The sequence below is a fragment of the Homo sapiens genome, chromosome 11 (assembly GCF_000001405.40).
Source record: "Homo sapiens chromosome 11, GRCh38.p14 Primary Assembly".
NCBI lineage: Eukaryota > Metazoa > Chordata > Mammalia > Primates > Hominidae > Homo > Homo sapiens.
In genome coordinates, this window is record NC_000011.10 from 103,400,476 (window position 1) to 103,419,782 (window position 19,307).

The 19,307-nt window shown below is 37.3% G+C and overlaps 1 protein-coding gene and 6 pseudogenes across 5 annotated transcripts in view; 1 reads left to right on the forward strand and 6 right to left on the reverse strand.

Moving 5' to 3' along the window:
- The window catches only part of DYNC2H1 (dynein cytoplasmic 2 heavy chain 1), a 370,438-nt gene that overhangs the window by 291,050 nt on the left and 60,081 nt on the right, over window positions 1–19,307 (forward strand). The window lies entirely within an intron of this gene.
- On the reverse strand, window positions 1,538–2,111 carry MTCO3P15 (MT-CO3 pseudogene 15; annotated as a pseudogene).
- Window positions 2,113–2,947, reverse strand: MTATP6P15 (MT-ATP6 pseudogene 15; annotated as a pseudogene).
- Window positions 3,037–3,692, reverse strand: MTCO2P15 (MT-CO2 pseudogene 15; annotated as a pseudogene).
- Window positions 3,834–5,359, reverse strand: MTCO1P15 (MT-CO1 pseudogene 15; annotated as a pseudogene).
- MTND2P26 (MT-ND2 pseudogene 26) lies at window positions 5,744–6,766 on the reverse strand (annotated as a pseudogene).
- MTND1P36 (MT-ND1 pseudogene 36) lies at window positions 6,966–7,901 on the reverse strand (annotated as a pseudogene).

Sequence of the window (19,307 nt, forward strand, 5' to 3'; positions counted from 1 at the left end):
TTGTGCTGAAAAATTGGACCATTTTAAATGATAATAAAATCCATGTATTTTATATCTATTTGATAGAAACAAAAATATGGGATGTTCTGCACAGATTTATTTTAGCTGTTTGGAGAATAGAAACTTTGCAGAAGTTGGTATCTGGAAAATATTTCAGTGGAGTGCTATAGGAATTAAGTTTTCTTTTTTTTTTTCACGCCCCCTTGCTGTTTGTACTCAATATAGGGAAACCTCTGATAGTCAACCTAACAGTCCTCTCTGTTTGAATATAAAATAATAGCCTTCCTAGAACTTCCTACATTCACATATACTAGCATTAAAATATCCAGTGCTTTTCTACATATACAGAAAGGTCTACTCTGGCATCCTTGTCTTCTTTTTTATTTTACCTTGAAAAAGAATCTGTTTTGCATTGTTTTTTCTTTGTACATACATTGCCGTCTCTGTTAATCAACCATGATTATCAAAATACTATAGTTTTGATTTGTACCACAGATTGTAACTAAGTTGTTTTTAATTTGGAGTAGATATATTGTCAGTCATGAAAGATTCTTGGCACAGTGAAGGAACCAGTTGGAAAGGATTCTAAACTTTCTAAAAACTTTATTTAATTAACTCGTTTAATCATCACAGTAACATCTTGAGTGACATACTGTTGTCTCCATTTTACTGTGATGAATTTGAGGCAGTGGGGTGTTACATAACCAGAATCACACAGCAAAGAGTTCCAGAACCAGGATTTGAATCTGGGTATGTCCTGTTGTCATAATAAATGTAAATGCTTCAAATTTATGTATCAAAATATAAATGCTCTTGAGAGTATATTTCTTTATCCAACTATATGCCGTACAGAGTAAAATGTATCATTAAGACAAATTGCTGTTGAATTAGAAGAGAATAATAATATAGGAAGATGACATGTAGAAGAGAAGAGTAAGTCTAGTAGGACGGGTACACAATGAAGTATAATTAGGATTGGATCAGATTTTGAGGTCTCTAAAGCCAAAGAAAGGAACTTGGATTAAATGCTGTAGGCAATAATGATATTTATATGTAGAAATAATAGAGCAAAATGGCTAAGAATGTGACCGCTGGAATATGTCTGCCTGTTTGAGTTCTATTCTACCACATAGCAACTGTGTAACCTTGGGTAGGTTAATTAAGCATCTCTAAACTTCGCTTTTCTCATTTGTAAAATGAGGGTAGTAATAGTACCTACCTCATGGGATTATTACGAGAATTAAAACATCATTAAAGTGCTTGGCACATAGCAAGCACCCTACAAATGCTGTTCTTGTTATTGTTATTTTAGGATAATTTTATTATGAAAAGCTCTTCAAGCATTTATCTGGTATCATTGTACAAAATAAGTTTATAGAAATAGGAATACCATGTAGGTTACTGTAATTCTCATCTCAGGAAGAGGTAGTTAAGTTAGGGCCTGGAATAAGATATTTCAAGATGGTTCTATGTGATATTAATAAAAAATGTAAGAGGTAATTGGTAACCCATCAGAGACAGTGAAGAGGTAAGAGGTAACCCATCAGAGATAATGAAGGAGGTTTCAAAATATTCTGAGATTTATAGGAGGGTGAAGTAAATACCTAAAGTAATAATGTTGGATAGTGCTTGAATTATCTGTTTTTGACTACCTTCTATTAGTCTGTGGTGAGCTCAAGTAATTGAAACCCCTGATGCAAGTAATACAGATGTATTCAGGAGGGAGACTTCTAAGGGGTTGAGGGGAAAAATGCCTGTTGAGGGTCAACGTCCCCCTAATTCTGGTGTAGGAGCTAGACTAGAGTGGTAAAATGCCCTGAAGAAACCAGCAAAAAAGAATACTTCTGAGATAATAAATAGGATTATTCCATATTGGAGGCCTTTTTGGACAATTGTTGTACGGTGGCCTTGAAATGTGCTTTCTTGGATAATATCACGTCATCATTGGTATACAGTTAGTGTATTGGTTAGCAAGCCTAGGGTTAAAAGAGTCATAGAGTTGAAGTGAAATCACATGGCCAGGCCAGATGTTATTAGAAGAGCTGAGAGAGCCCCTGTTAATGGTCAGGGACTGGGGTTGACTATATGGTAGGCATGTGTTTGGTGGGTCGTGGTGTTGTCATGTAGATAGAGGCTTACTAGTAGTGCAAAGACATAAGCCTGAATAAGGGCTATGGCGAATTTGAGAATGGTTAGTAGGATTAAAATAATGAAAGCAATTGAAGCTGTGGGAAGACTAATAGTTGATAGTACTAGTGTGGCTCCTCTGATTAAGTGTATTAGTAGGTGGCCAGCTGTAATGTTGGCTGTTAATCACTCAACTAGTGCTATTGGTTGGATGAATAGGCTAATAGTCTCAATGATTACCAATACAGGAATAAGTGGTATGGGTCTGCCTTGTGGTAAAAAAGTGGGCTAAGGAGATTTTCATTTTAAACTGGAAGCCTGTAATGACTGTGCATGTTCACAAGGGGATTGCTATACCTAGATTTATTGATAATTGGGTAGTTGGTATAAATGAGTAGGGTAGAAGCCCGAGGAGATTGGTCGAGGCAATGAAGAAAATTAGGGATATCAGTATTAGGGATCAGGTTTGTCCTTTAATGTTATGGGTAATTATTATTTTAGTAAAGTTGAACTATTCATTGTTGAATGGAGATCAGTAGATGACTAATTAGATGATTGGAGGTTAGAAATAGTATGGTGGGAAATAAAATGGTTAATACTACTGCGGGTAGACCTAGAAATGTTGGGGTAATAAAAGAGGTGAATAAATTTTCATTCATTTTAATTCTCAAGAGGTTAAATGTTCTTGTATTTTGATTATTTTTTGTGTAGGGGGTGTGTAATAAATGAAATTTGGTAGTTTTAACTGAATAATGTAGAATAAAGTTATGATTATTGACAAGATAACAATAGATCATGTGGAAATATCTAGTCGAGGCATTCACTGCAGAGAGGTGTAGACCCCTCAGTCTTTAACTTAAAAGGTTAAAGCTAAGTAGCTTTACAGTGATATTATAGTGTGGTTGTGGATCAGGTTTCGAAATTTTTTAAGGGAATTGATTCTAGGACAATAGGTATAAAACCGTGGTTAGACCCACACATTTTTGAGCACTGTCCGTAGTAAAGGCCTGGTCATGTAGCAGTCAAGGTAGTTTAAGCATTCAGGAATTGCATCTGTTTTGATGCCTAATGAGGGAATAGTTCATGAGTGTAGGACGTCTTCGGATGAGACTAATATACAGATGGGTATCTCTATTGGGAGAACTGTTCAGTTATCAACTTCAAAGAGTTGAAGCTCTCCTGGCTTTAAGTCTGCTGTTGGGGTTATATAAGAATCAAAGCCTAACTCTTCATGTTCTGTATACTCATAGCTTCAATATCATTGGTGACCAGTTGTTTTGATGGTAATAGAAGGGTTGTGAACCTCATCTGTTATAGAATACGTAGGGATGGGAGGGCAATTAAAATTAAGATAATGGCAGGTGAGATAGTTCAGACAGTCTCGATTTCTTGGGCATCTATGCTGTTAGTATGAATTAATTTGTTGTGAGTATTAGGGAAATAATATATAGGACCAGGGAACTAATTAGGAAAATAATTATAAGAGTATGGTCATGGAAAGTGAGTAATTCTTCCATAATAGGGGATGTAGCACCTTGAAAGCCTAACTGAACTGCATGAGCCATTAAGACATACAGGGTTTAACCTATAACTTAACTTTGACAAAGTTATGTAATGATTTTACTAGTATCTTATCAAGAAATTCATAGAGGTTATGGGATTGGCTAGAAACCAGTTTCAGGAGGTTCGATTCCTTCCTTTTTGGCTTAGGTTTTCATGCAGGTTGGTTCTTCGAATGTGTGGTAAGGTGGTGGACAGCCGTAAAGTCACTCTAAATTAGTAGATGATTGTTCAGTTGTTAGAACTTTTCATTTTGAAGCAAAGGCTTCCCAGTTCTTAAAAATTATTAGTATAACTGCTGCTAGTGAGATAAGTGAGCCTACTGATGAGATAATATTTCATATGGTGTGCACATCAGGATAATCAGAGTAATGTTGGGGCATACCAGATAGGCTGAGGAAGTGCTGTGGGGAAAAGATTAAATTAACACCTATAAATATAATGGTGAAGTGGATTTTAGCCTATCTGATTAATTGTATAACCTGAAAATAAGGGGAATCAGTGGACAAAGCACCCTATCATGGCAAATACCATTCCTATTGATAGGATGTAGTGGAAATGGGCTACAACATAATATGTGTCATGTAAGATAATGTCTAGTGATGAATTAGCTAGTATAATGCTGGTTAGACCTCCTACTGTGAATAGGAAAATGAATCCTAGGGCTCAGAATATTGCAGGAGATCATTTGATGTTACCGCCACGCACTGTAGCTTATCAGCTAAAGACCTTGATGCTAGTAGGGATAGCAATAATTATAGTAGTGGCAGTGAAGTATGCCCGTGTGTCTACGTCTGTTCCTACTGTAAATATATGGTGAGCTCATACGATAAACCCTAGGAAGCCAATTGATATTATAGCTCATACTATGCCCATATACCCAAATGGTTCCTTTTTTTTTCAGAATAATATGTTGCGATATGGGAGATTATTCCGAAGCCTGGTAGAATAAGGATATAGACTTCAGGGTGACCAAAGAATCAGAATAAATGTTGATACAAGATAGGGTTGCCTCCCCTAGCAGGGTCAAAAAAAGTAGTATTGAGGTTACGGTCAGTTAATAGTATGGTAATGCCGGGGGCTAGAACTGGGAGAGAAAGGAGGAGAAGGACTGCTGTAATGAGGGCTGATCAGACAAAAAGGGATGTTTGATATTGGGAAGAGGGTTTTATATTAAATTGTGGTAATAAAGTTAATGGCTCCTAAAATAGAAGAAACACCTGCCAAGTGGAATGAGAAGATGGTTATACCTACAGAGTTTCCTGCATGAATTAAGTTCCCTGCTAAAGTGGGATAAACAGTTCAGCCATTTCCAGCACTGGCTTCTACCATTGAGGATGCAAGCAGGAAAGAGGGGAGGAGAAGTCAGAAGTTCATATTATTTATCCGGGGAAATGCCATGTCAGGTGCCCCAGTTATCAGAGGGACTAGCCAGTTACCAAAAGCCCCAATTATGATTGGTATGACCATAAAGAAGATTAATACAAATGCGTGGGTTGTAACAATAACATTATAAATCTGACCATCTCCTAGCAGAGTTCCTGGTTGGCCTAATTCTGCTCGAATTAGAAGGCTTAAGGCGGTGCCCCCTATTCCCACTCATGCGCCAAATAACAGATATAGTGTTCTGATGTCTTTGTGGGTAGTTGAAAACAATCAATGATTGATGAACGTAAGTGAAAAAAAGGTAAAATGGCTGAGTAAGCATTAGACTATAAATCTAAAGACAGAGGTCAAGGCCTCTTTTTACCAGCCCTGAGGTGATTTCTCATGTTGAATTGCGAATTCAAAGGGGCAGCTTCAATCCGCCTTTCCCCGACAAGGGCAGGAGAAGTAGATTGAAGCCAGTTGATTAGGATGTTTAGCTGTTAACTAAATTATCCTGGGTTTGAATTCCACCAATCTAGCAAGGGCTTAGGTTAATTAAAGTGATTGATTTGCATTCAATTGATGCAGAATAGTCTTGCAGTCCTTAGATCTGTTACAGAAATTAAGTGTAATTTACTTACTAAGGGCTTTGAAGGCTCTTGGTCTTATTTAACCTAAATTTCTAAGTTATGATTAGTATTATTGGAGAGATGGGTAAAAGGAGGGGTAGAAGAAATAAGTGAGAGGAGGAGGAGTATGAGTTTTGTGCTTTCGAATTGTCATTTTATTTTCATATTATTAGATGTGGGGAATATTGTTACTGAGATAGAATAAATTAGGCGTATATAAAAGTACAGGTAGAGTAGGGTTATGATAGCTATAATAGTTGGGGTAATAAGACTTGTTTTTTGTAAATTCTTGAATGATGGCTCATTTGGGCAGAAATCCTGTTAGTGGAGGTAAATCTCCTAGGGATAATAGAATTAGTGGGATTATAGGTGTTAACCATGTTAGTTTGTTTCAGGCATGAAATAGTGACAGGGTTGTAGTGCTTATACTCAGGTTGAGTGAGTGCTAGGAATGCGGCGATTGTTAAAGCAAATAATCAGGTTTAGAATAGTAATGCTTGGGTTATAAATTAGTACTGCTATCATTCAACCTATATGATTAATTGAGGAGTAGGCTAGGATTTTGTGTAGCTGTGTTTGATTAAGTCCTCCTCAACCACCCACCATAATGGATAAAATTGTGATAGCATATTTGTGTGTTTATTGATGGGAAAATTTGAAATATAATTAAGATAGGGGCTAGTTTTTGTCATGTGAGGAGAAGTATGCCAGACATTAGAGAGCTTCCTTGGGTCACTTTTGGGACTCAGAAATGAAAGAGGACTCTTTCTAGTTTTATTACTAGGGCTATTATTAAGGATGAAAATCGATTAATAGTATTTATTGTTCATTGTCCAGAGTACAGGTTATTGGAAAGGATACCTATCATACGAATTATAGATGTGGTTGCTTGTGTAAGGAAGTATTTGGTGGCTGCTTCTCCAGGGCCGGGATTTATTTTTTTTTTTAATTAAGATTGGAGTAAGAGCTAATATGTTTATTTCTAGGCCTGTCCAGATGAGAAATTAGTATGAGCCTAGTATTGTGATAAGAGTTCCTGTGAAAATAGTTAAATAAATAATAAGTTGGGCTGGTGGATTAATTAGTACAGGAAGGAGATAACCAGCATTTTCAGGGTATGGGCCTGATAGCTTATTTATCTGACCTTACTTTAGGACATCGCGTAATAGGTAGCACAGACAATTTTGGATTCTCACGGGTAGGTTCAATTCCTATAGTTCTAGAAATAAGAGGATTTAAACCTTGTTTACTCTATCAAAGTCATTCTTTTATCAGACATATTTATGTTTGGGGTAGAATGCTGGAAATTAGAATAGGCATTGAGACATATGCAGAATGCTAGCGTAAGTGGTAGAAAATTTTTTCATAGAAGATATGAATTGTTCGTAGCAGAAATGGGGGTATGCTGTTGGAATTCGTAAAAACAGGTAGTTACAAGGAGTGTCTTGATAATGAAATTTGTGGTATAGAGTACTGGTGAATGTATGGTGTGTAGTGCTCCTAGAAAAATAGTAGTTAGGGCATTTATTACGATAATATTCATATATTATGCTATAAAGAAGAGGGCAAATGAACCTGCAGCATATTTGATGTTGAAGCCTGAGGCTCTGATTCTCCTTCTGTTAGCTCAAAAGGGCCCCAGTTAGTTTCTGTTAGTGTGGAGATAAATCAGATTATGGCTAGGGGCCATGATGGTAGGAGTAGTCAGAGGAATTCTTGCTTTGTGATGAGTGCATATAAGTTAAATGAGCCACTTATCAGAACTGATAATAGGATAATGGTTAGGGTGACTTCATATGAAATTTGTCTGGGCTACAGCTCATAATGCACTGATTCGTACATAATTTGAATTAGATGCTCATCCTGATCATAGAATAGATGGCTAGGCTTGATGTGGCTAGTATAAATAGGAGGCCTTTATTTAAAATTAATAAGAGGATCCGGTATAGGGAGGTGAGTTCACAAGAGGAGAGCGATAGAAAGGGCCAGGGTTGGAACAGTAATATAAAGGGTAACGGTAGATGTTGAGGGTCATAAGGGTTCTTTGGTGAAAAGTTTTATTGCATCAGCAAATGGTTGAAGCAGTCCGTAGGAGCCTACAGTGTTAGATCCTTTGCGTAGTTGTATATAGCCTAAGATTTTTTGTTCAATGAATGTAAGGAATGCTATAGCAATTATAGTGGGAATAATAAATAGGAGGTGGTTAATTACAGGCATATTGTTAAGAAGAGGAGTTGAACCTCTGATTTATAAAGTTTTATGCAATTACCGGGCTCTACCATCTTAAACCCTGTTCTCGGGTTGGATGTGTGATGATTTGTTTGATTGAGATAGTATCATCTATGAGGCGAGGTTGCTTTATGAAGTAGGCCCTATTTCTCTTGTCCTTTCGTACTAGCAGAAATATTAAATAGATAGAAACCGACCTGGATTACTCCAGTCTAAACTCAGATCACATAGGACTTTAATTGTTGAACAAATGAACCCTTAATAGCAGCTACATTAGGATGTCCTGATCCAACATTGAGGTCGTAAACCCTATTGTCTATATGGACTCTAGAATAGGATTACACTGTTATCCGTAGGGTAACTTGTTCAGTTAAATTATTGGGTCAATATATGTTAACTCGCTTAGACTAGTGCCATTTTAGTTTAGGTTGTTCGGAGGTTAAATTATGCTCCAAGGTCACCCCAGCCAAAATTTTTAATGCAATGGTAATGGGTTAGGGCGAGTTTCTATTTGCCTTAATGAATTAAAGCTCCATAGGGTCTTCTCATCTTGTTTATATCCCGCCGGATAGGTCAGTTTCACTGATTAAAAGTAAGAGACAGCTGAAGCCTCGTGTGGCCATTTATACAAGTCCCTATTTAGAGAACAAGTGATTATGCTACCTTTGCACAGTCAGGATACCACAGCTGTTGAACATATGTCACTGGGGACATGTCTAATACTGGTAATGCTAGAGGTGGTGTTTTTGGTAAACAGGCAGGGTAAGATTTGCCGAGTTCCTTTTACTTTTTGTAACCTTTCCTTCAAGAATACCTTTGTTGGATTAACAGTATAAATAATAAGGTGCTTATTGTATCACTTATTAATATTAGGCTGTTAACGGTCAGTGGGTTATTCCGGTTTGATGTAAGCTTATGTGATGGAGGATATCTTCATGTTACTTATATTAACATTATTGCTTCTATTAAGTAATAGATTAGTCCAACGTAATGTTAGGAGTTCAGTAGAGTGATTAGAATTTAAAATAGATGTTGAGCTTGAATGCTTTCTTAATTGGTGGCTGCTTTTGGGCCAACTATGGTGGTAATAATGTTTACTCTCTGGAGGAAGGTTATTTCCTAGGGTCTAAAGATCTGTCCCTCTTCAGACTAGCAGTTAAACTTACAGGGGACTAAGTAATTCTGTGGGTACGTAGACGGCTAGGCTTGATGTGGCTAGTATAAATAGAAGGCCTTTATTAAAATTAATTAGAGGATCTGGTATAGGGAGTTGTCTAAGATTCTATCTTGGACAACCAGCTATCACCAGGCTCGGTAGGTTTGTCACTGCTACTCATGAATCTTCCCACTATTTTGCCACATAGGTAGGTGTGCTCTTCAGCTGTTCTTGGGTAGCTTGTCTGGTTTCAGGGGACTTGGCTATGGGTCTCTGTGTAAAGTTAGTTATTTCTAGTTAATACATTATGCAGAAGGTATAAGGGTTTGTCTTTGCTTTTTAATGCTTGATTCAGTTCTTTCATCTTTCCCTTATGGTACTATGTCTATTGTGCCAGGATAAAATTTCCATCGCCTATACCTTTATATAAGATAAATGGTTTAAGATTATTTGATAATGTCTTTAGTGAGGTTTGGAGTGAGAGTTGGCTCAAAGTGATCAGGTCATGATGAAATCTTCCAGGGGTAAGCTGGGTACTTTGGATTAAGCTACACTTTGGTTTGTCCAAATGCACTTTCCAGTATGCTTACCATGTTACAACTTATCTCCTCTATACGTGTGTAGAGAGATTTTAGTAATAGGGATTTCTAGAATAGTATTTGGAAAGGTGACAGGCAGTGTGTGTGTGCTTCATGGCCTTATTCAACCAAGCACTCTACTCTTGGTTTACTGCTAAATCCTCCTTGAGTCTTTTGATTTCATAAAGGTTGTCGTGAGATTTTCTGGGTATAGAAAATGTAGCCCATTTCTTCCCACCTCATGAGCTACACCTTGACCTAATGTTTTTATGTGTATTACTTGTGCTTACTCTATAACCTTTTTAGGGTTTGCTGAAGATGGCGGTATATAGGCTGGGGGCAAGAGGTGGTGAGGTAGATCGGGGTTTATAGATTATAGAACAGGCTCCCCTAGAGGGATATAAAGCACCGCCAAGTCCTTTGAGTTTTAAGCTATTGCTTCTAGTATTCTGGCGAATGGTTTTGTTAATATAACTATTATAGTTTAGGGCTAAGCATAGTGGGGTATCTAACCCCAGTTTGGATCTTAGCTGTCGTGTCTTCAGGATATTAAAGCCACATTCGTAGTATGTTTTATTTCAGCCTAAGTTTTTTACAACTTAAATGGAGTTTAGCTTTATTGAGGGCAGATCTTAAACACTCTTTACGCTGAGTTCTATTAGCTTGGGTTAATTGTATAGCTTGGGTTCATTGTATGGCCACAGTGGCTGGCACGAAATTGACCAACCCTATATATCAGTATAGCTTAAACGTTCATTTATTACTAAATATTTATCACTGCTGTTTCCCGTGGGGGTGTGGTTGAGCAAAGTATTTTGAGCTGCATTTGTGCATGCTTGATACTTGCTCCTTTGATCCGGGTGATGTAGAGGGCATTTTTCACTGGGGTGGGGATGCTTGCATGTGTAAAGACCAGGACCAAACCTATCTGTTTATGGGGTTGTGCAAACCCATCTAGACATTTTCAGTGTCTTCCTTTAAATAATTAAGCTACATTAACTGCATAAATACTTCAGCGTAAAGTTAATTAGAATATGAGGAAAGAAGAAATAAGTAAGTATAAACCGTCATTTACAGTTCTAGAAATCCAGTGGTTTAAAGTTGAGTTGGCAGAGGTTTAGTTGGGGGTTACTCATAATTAGGGTATAATTGATTTAGGCTATGATATATAAGGTAGCGCTTTCAGAAGGGTGTATTCAAGGTATCATATCAGTATTAGGGTGGGAAATTGGTTGTTGTGCTTATTGTATAAAATGGAGGCTTTGTTTAGTAGGGTTTTCAGATTGTTAGGAAAATTATATCAATCGAGGGGTAGCCGTTGAGGTACTCATGATTAAAATATGATTTCTGGGCAAATTTGGTTTCTTGTTTTGTTTCTGCTGTTAATTATCTCGGTGACCTGTGGCATAAACACTTGAAAAAAAAAGGATAATTTAACTTTAAATCATTTTCTATGATTATAATATAATGTGGCTTAGATTATGTTGAAAGATAAAGAACAAAAAGGGCTTAATTATATGAAACAATTTTTTAAGACCAAAATATTTTAGAAAGGGGTCATACATTTTTAATTTTTATATTTTTTCTTTCTTTCAACCAAGATCTACTAAGTATTTCATTATTTCACACAGCAACAAAACTGGATGGCTTATTTCTTAATTAACATGTATTTATGTAGGATGCAGATAATTTCAATATATAAAGTATTCTATATTATACTTTGAATTAAGAAATGCAGCCTCAGAAAATATCACTATTTTTGAAATATTTGTATTATTTGCATGAAAATGAATTTGTTAAAATTCTTTCAAAGTATGAAAAATGTGTTTTACAAAGCATGTTTAAATTCTGTCACAGGTGGTATTCTTAGAAATCGTTTAGGCTGTTTGATGAAATGCAAATGAGACTAGTCTGACTTTCACTAAGATCAGATCAGTAAAACACTTTCTGACATTTACTTTCTAATGAGTTTTAACAAAAACTGAGAATTCAGTACTACCCCATTTATTTCAAAATAAAAGTTAAATTTTTGTTAAATTTTTGTTACATTTGAATGTGACAAGTTATGTATGATGCCATACGATTTAATGTGCTTTAGGAAAGAGTTCAGTACTTGACATTTTCTTTACTATGTGTGACACGATTGGAGTAGGAAATTTCCTAGAGAGAATAATGACTTTTATTTCTTTGATAACTTATGATGATCTGCTAAAACTTTTTTAAATACACAATATTTATAATTTGCTTTTTAAAGAAAACAATATTGTAAAATAGTTATCTTCTACATGTTAGAACATAGACTTTAAAACATAATTTAAAATATACAGCAAAAATTACAAAGGTGCAAATGCCAAATTGCTTTATCTTACTGAATAATCACTAAGAGAATGTACCATTTTAGTAGAAATTAATAGGTTGTATTGATTAATTGAACCCCTTTTAAAGCCAACATATCTATTGGTTATACATTTCTGTGTATTCTAACATGCAAGCTGGTAACACTAAATGGCTCTTCAATTTTTTAAACCAGGGAGTCCTTCAGCAATATGGCAAAAATGCTAGTGGATCCTGTGTCTTTTAATAATTTTCAAAACTGTTTAATCATTTTGAAATCATTTTTTGATCACTGACCACCTTAAAAATTGAAGAGGAAGGATGTACTTTCTTAAAATATGTTCATACATATACATATAGAACTTTATTATATAATTTTGAGATGTATGAAGTTAATATCTTCTTTGCTATCCTGGTTATTCCTTTCACTTTCACTCCTTTCCTCTACCATGGCCCTCTTTGTAGGAGTGGTTCTCAAAGTGTGGTCTCCAGACCAATATCATTAGCATCACCTGAGACCTTGGCAGAAATATGAATTCTTGTACCACCCCCCACCTACCCTCCAGACTACTGAATCAGAAACTCCCAGTGTGTTTACTTGCAATTTGTTTTATCAAGCTCTTGAGGTGCGTGTCAACTTTGGGGAAATACTGCAGTCAGAATTCACATCCAAAAAGGCAGTACCTGCCATGTCACCTTTCCATCTATCTCCACTACACTTTGTGAACATTTATGACTACATCCACCATGGATCTTTATAAAATGACTGGGGACCTTATTTTTTGTTAAAAGCCTATTTTTATTGTTTACTTGCCTGCAAATTAGTTCTTAGGAAAGTTCTACTCCAACTATTTTAACAAATAATTATAAACGTTGAATAATTTGTATTTTTTTCATTTAAGGTATTACCTCATGTTTTAAAACATAATATTTATGTTAAATAACAGTTTACTATTTATGCAGAACTTTAGTAGCCCTTATGAAATTTGATACTCTCATCCTGCTTTTACTTAAGAAGACTGTGAAAGAGTTACATCCTGGTAGAGCATTAAAGCCTGTACTGTAATTCTGATGTTGTGATTCCTAGATCAGAGTTCTTTCCACCTTACTGCTCATTAAATATTTTGCTAGATCAAGCAGCTAAATTATAGTGTTTGTTATAAGATGCAGTTATCAGCTTTGTTTGTTTGAACTGAACTGCATATACTCATCTTCAAAGGCCTATCAAATACTGGGATGGAACTCTGCCTACTCCCTCATCTATAGCTTTACTTAGCAACATTTTATTATATGTACTTATAATGTAAATCAATTTTTATTGATTTAAGGGAAAAAAGGGGCCTGCATATAACAAGAATCTTTAATCTTTTGGAATTTTCCTTTATATCCCTAACTTAATATCATCATCCCAAGTTAATAGAATACACTTTCTCTTTTTTAGCAAGAGATTTTAACTTCCAGAGCTTGTCCTTTTGTTTGTCCTTTTTCATTCATTTAGCAAATAAAAACAGAAGTACATTATTGTAAGGACTTTATGCCATGCTAAAAGAAGTTTTATCATTATTATTTGAAAGTAAACTGTGGTAAGTTAAAGATGTGTACATAAGTCATAACACAATGATAAAAATGAAAGTACCAAAGAGGTATGCATAATGAGCCAAAATAGGACATAAGATGGAAACATAACCTTTATCAATTAATACAAAAGCAAGATCAGGAAATAAAAAGTCAGAAATTACAAGTATCAGGAATTAGAGACAGGACATCACTGCATTTCCTACAGACATTAAAAGGATATTAAGGGAATGTTATTAATAATTTTATGCCTACAAATTCAACAACTTAGGTGAAATACACAAATTCCTTGAAATAAATTCACCACTGCTGGGCGCAGTGGCTCACGCCTGTAATCCCAGCACTTTGGGAGGCCGAGGCACATGGATCACGAGGTCAGGAGTTCAAGACCAGCCTGACCAACATGGTGAAACCCTGTCTCTACTAAAAATACAAAAATTAGCTGGGCTTGGTGGCACGTGCCTGTAATCCCAGCTACTCGGGAGGCTGAGGCAGAAGAATTGTTTGAACCCAGGAGAAAGAAATAAAGGATATTCAGATAGTAAGAGAGAAGTCACATTGTCTCTGTTTGCAGGTGACATGGTTGTAGATTTAGAAAACCCCATCATCTCAGCCCAGAAACTCCTTAAGCTAATAAGTAACTTCAGCAAAATTTCAGGATTCAAAATCAGTGTGCAAAATTCACAAGCATTCCTATACATCAATAATAGACAAGCAAAGAGCCAAATCATGAGTGAACTCCCATTCACAATTGCTGCAAAGAGAGTAAAATACCTAAGAATACAACTTTCAAGAATGTGAAGGACCACTTCAAGAAGAACGATAAAACCACTGCTCAAGGAAATAAGACAGGACACAAACAAATAGAAAAAAAATTCCATGCTTATGTACCACCATAGAATCAATATCATGAAAATGGCAGTACTTCCCAAAGTAATTTATAGATTCAGTGCTATTCCCATCAAGCTACCATTGACTTTCTTCACAGAATTAGAAAAAACTTTGACAAACCTGAGAAACACAAGCAATGGGGAAAGGATTCCCTATTTAATAAGTGGTGCTGGGAAAACTGGCTAGCCATATGTAGAAAGCTGAAACTGGATCCCTACCTTACACCTTATACAAAAATTAATTCGAGATGGATTAAAGACTTAAATGTTAGACCTCAAACCATAAAAACCCTAGAAGAAAACCTAGGCAATACCATTCAGGACATAGGCATGGGCAAGGACTTCATGACTAAAACACCAAAAGCAATGGCATGCAACAAAAGCCAAAATTGACAAATGAGATCTAATTAAACTAAAGAGCTTCTGCACACCAAAAGAAACTACCATCAGAGTGAACAGGCAACCTACAGAATGGGAGAAAATTTTTGCAATCTATTCATCTGACAAAGGGCTAATATCCAGAATCTACAAAGAACTCGTTAAAAACCCCATCAAAAAGTGGGCAAAGGATATGAACAGACACTTCTCAAAAGAAGACATCTATGCAGCCAACAGACACATAAAAAAACGCTCATCATCACTGGTCATCAGAGAAATGCAAATCAAAACCACAATGAGATACCATCTCATGCCAGTTAGAATGGCGATCATTAAAAAGTCAGGAAACAACCAATGCTAGAAAGGATGTGGAGAAATAGGAACACTTTTACACTGTTGGTGGGACTGTAAACTGGTTCAACCATTGTGGAAGACAGTGTGGCGATTCCTCAAGGATCTGGAACTAGAATTACCATTTGACCCAGCCATCCCATTACTGGGTATATATCCAAAGGATTATAAATCATGCTACTATAAAGACACATGCGCACATATGTTTATTGCTGCACTATTCACAATAGTAAAGACTTGGAACAAACCCAAATGTCTATCAATGATAGACTGGATTAAGAAAATGTGGCACATATACACCATGGAATACTATGCAGACATAAAAAGGATGAGTTCATGTCCTCTGCAGGGACATGGAATGAAGCTAGAAACCATCATTCTCAGCAAATGATCACAAGGACAGAAAACCAAACACCACATGTTCTCACTCATAGGTGGGAATTGAACATTGAAATCACCTGGACACAGGAAGGGAACCATCACACACCAGGGCCTGTCCCAGGCTGGGGGGCTGAGGGAGGGATAGCATTAGGAGAAATACCCAGTGTAAATGATGAGTTGATGGGTGCAGCAAACCAACATGGCACATATATACCTATGTATCAAACCTGCACTTTGTGCACATGTACCCTAGAACTTAAACTATAATAATAATAATTAATAATAAAAAAGAAAAAACTACTTTTAAGTTTCATATGGAACCAAAATAGAGCCTGTATAGCCAAGACAATCCTAAGCAAAAAGAACAAAGCTGGAGGCATCAGCTACCTGACTTCAAACTATACTACAAGGCTACAGTAACCAAAACAGATTATAGACCAATGGAACAGAACAGAGACCTCAAAAATAATGCCACATATCTACAACCATCTGATGTTTGACAAACCTGACAAAAGACGAGCAATGGGGAAAGGATTTCCTTTTTAATAAATGGTGCTGGGAAAACTGGCTAGCCATATACAGAAAACAAACTGGACCCCTTCCTTACACCTTATACAAAAGTTAACTCAATATGGGTTAAAAACTTCAATGTAAAACCCAGAACCTAGGCAATACCATTCAGGACATAGGCACTGGCAAAGACTTCAGACTAAAACACCAAAAGCAAGGCAACAAAAGCCAAAATTGACAAATGGGATCTAATTAAAGAGTTGCTGCACAGCAAAAGAAACTATCATCAGAGTGAACAGACAACCTATAGAATGGGGAGAAATTTTTGCAATCTACCCATCTGACAAAAGGCTAATATCCAGAATCTACAAGGAACTTAAACAAATTTACAAGAAAAAAACAACCCCATCAAAAAGTGGGCAAAGGATATGAACAGACACTTCTCAAAAGAAGACCTTTATGTGGCCAACAAACTTATGAAAAAAAGCTCATCATCACTGGTCATTAAGGAAATGCAAATCAAAACCACAATGAGATACCATCTCACACCAGTTAGAATGATGGAGTCTTTCTTTGTCGCCAGGCTGGAGTACAGTGGCACAATCTGGGCTCACTGCAACATCCGCCTCCTGGGTTCAAGCCATTCTCCTACCTCAGCCTCCCAAGTAGCTGAGACTACAGGCGCATGCCACCACACCCAGCTAATTTTTATATTTTTAGTTGAGACGGGGTTTCACCATGTTGGTCAGGGGGGTTTCACCATGTTGGTCAGGATGGTCTCGATCTCTTGACCTCATGATCTGTCTGCCTCAGCCTCCCAAATTGCTAGGATTACAGGCGTGAGCCATCACACCTGGCCCAATAAAGTGATTTTTAAAAAGCCAACAAAGACATTATAGGTGAAAACCCTTCACAAATTTGCTTCATGCACATAATCACAAACACTAAACTTCTTACAAGATATTAGTAAATTGAATCCAACAAAATGTAAAATGGATAATGCATCATCCCCACAATACTAGTGTAGGCTAACATTTTAAAAATTGATCCGTGTTGGCCAGGCGTGGTGGTTCACGCCTGTAATCCCAAAACTTTGGGAGGTCAAGGCAGGCAGATCAGAGGTCAGGATTTCGAGACCAGTCTGACCAACATGGTGAAACCGTGTCTCTACTAAAAATACAAAAATTAGCTGGGCATGATGGCACGTGCCTGTAATTCCAGCTACACAAGAGGCGGAGGCAGGAGAATTGCTTGAACCCGGGAGGCAAAGGTTGCAGTGAGCCAAGATTGCACCACTGCAGTCCAGCCTGGACAACAGAGCGAGACTCCATCTCAAAAAAAAAAAAAAATTGATCAATGTTATTTACCATAATAGACTCATAAAGAAAAATTGTAACATTATCTCAATACAGAAAAATCATTAGAAAAATTTAACAGCTAGTCGTGATTAAAAAAAAAAAAAAACTTTAGCAAACTAAGATTAGAAGTGAACCTCTACAGCCAGATGAAAGGGCATCTATGAAAAAGATACAACTAATATGACAGTAAAAGACTATATGCTTTCCTTTTATGATCAGGAATGAGGCATTAAGCTCCACTTCTATTCAATGTTGCACCACATATCCTAGCTAGTAAAAATATTAAGAAAAATAAATACAAGTCATGCAGATTGGAAAGAAAGAAGGAAGCCTGCCTTTATTTGCAGAGGATACTATCATCTATTTACAAAATCTTAAGGAATCTACAAAAAAGATTTAGAGCTAGTAAGAGTTTGTTTAGCAAGATTGTGGGATATAAGGTAAATATATAAAAACTTAATTGTAGCTCTATATGTGAAAACAAATTATTGAAAATTGAAATTTAAAAATATTATGTGCATTACCTTTCTACACACTGAAAACTATAAAATGTTGACTAGTGAAATTGAAGAAGACCTAAATATATGGAAAGATGCATTGAAAGATGTACTGTGCTTGTGGATCAAGAGACCTAGTGTTAAAATGTTAGTTCTAAGATGGCCAATTAGAAGCAGCTGCAGTCTGTGGCACTATGGAGAGGAATGAAAGGGCAAGTGAATTCAGCACCTTCAACTGAAATATCCATGTTCTCGCATTGGAAATGACAAGGCAAAGAACTCACAGAGAACAAAGAAAAGCAGTGTGGGGTAATGGCCCACCTGGGAGTGGCATGGAGCCAAAGGAACCCCCATCCCCAGCCAAGGGAAGCAGTGAGTGATTGTTCGACCCCACCTGGGAAACCACATTTCTCCCACACATCTTTGCAACCCATAGATGAGGATATCCCCTCATGAGCCCACACCACCAGGGCCTTGGGTCCGAAACACAGAGCTGTGTGGAGTCTGCACAGCAGCTGCTCAGGTACACACACACAGGCCCAGGAGTTTTACATACTCCAGTCCTGTGCTACCCAGCAAGGAAAGAGTCCACCTGTATATATCCCTAAAGAAGGGGGCTGAATTCAGGGAGCCAAGCAGCGTCATTCTGCAGGGCCCACTTCCATGGCACTTCACAAGGTAAGACCCACTGGCCTGGAATTCTGGCCAGCCCACAGCAACAGGCTGGAGTCTGCCTGAGGCAGGAACAAGTTTCTTGGGGTAGGGGTGGCGGCCGTCTCTGCGATTTGGTAGACTTAGCCATTCCAGCCTGCTGGCTTGGGAGAATACAAACAGTCCAGATGAGGAAGGGTCCCCCCTCAATGCAGCACACTTGCTCTACAAAAATGAGCCAGACTGATTCTTTAAGTGGTTCCGTGATCCCATTCCTCCTGACTGGATGAGACCTCCCAACAGGAGTCTCCAGATACCTCCTACAGGCACATTTGGGCTGACAACCAGTCATTATCCCGCTGGGACAGAGCTTCCAGAGGAAGGAGCAGGCTGCCATCTCTGCTGTTTCACAGCCTTCACTGGTGATGCCTCCAGATACAGGAAAAATCAAGGCAACTAGGGTCTAGAGTGGACCCCCAGCAAACCACAGCAGCCTTGTGGAAGGGTGGCCTGACTGGTTAAAAAAAAAAAAACCACACAGAAAACAATATTTAAAATAAAAGACCCTACAAAAACCCCAAAGGTCAGCAACCTCAAAGATCAAAGATAGATGAGCCCACAAAGATGAGAAAGAATCAATGCAACAACACCAAAAACTGAAAAGCCAGAGTGCCTCTTCTCCTCCAAATGACTGCAACACCTCTACTGCAAGGGCACAGAACTGGGCTGAGGCTG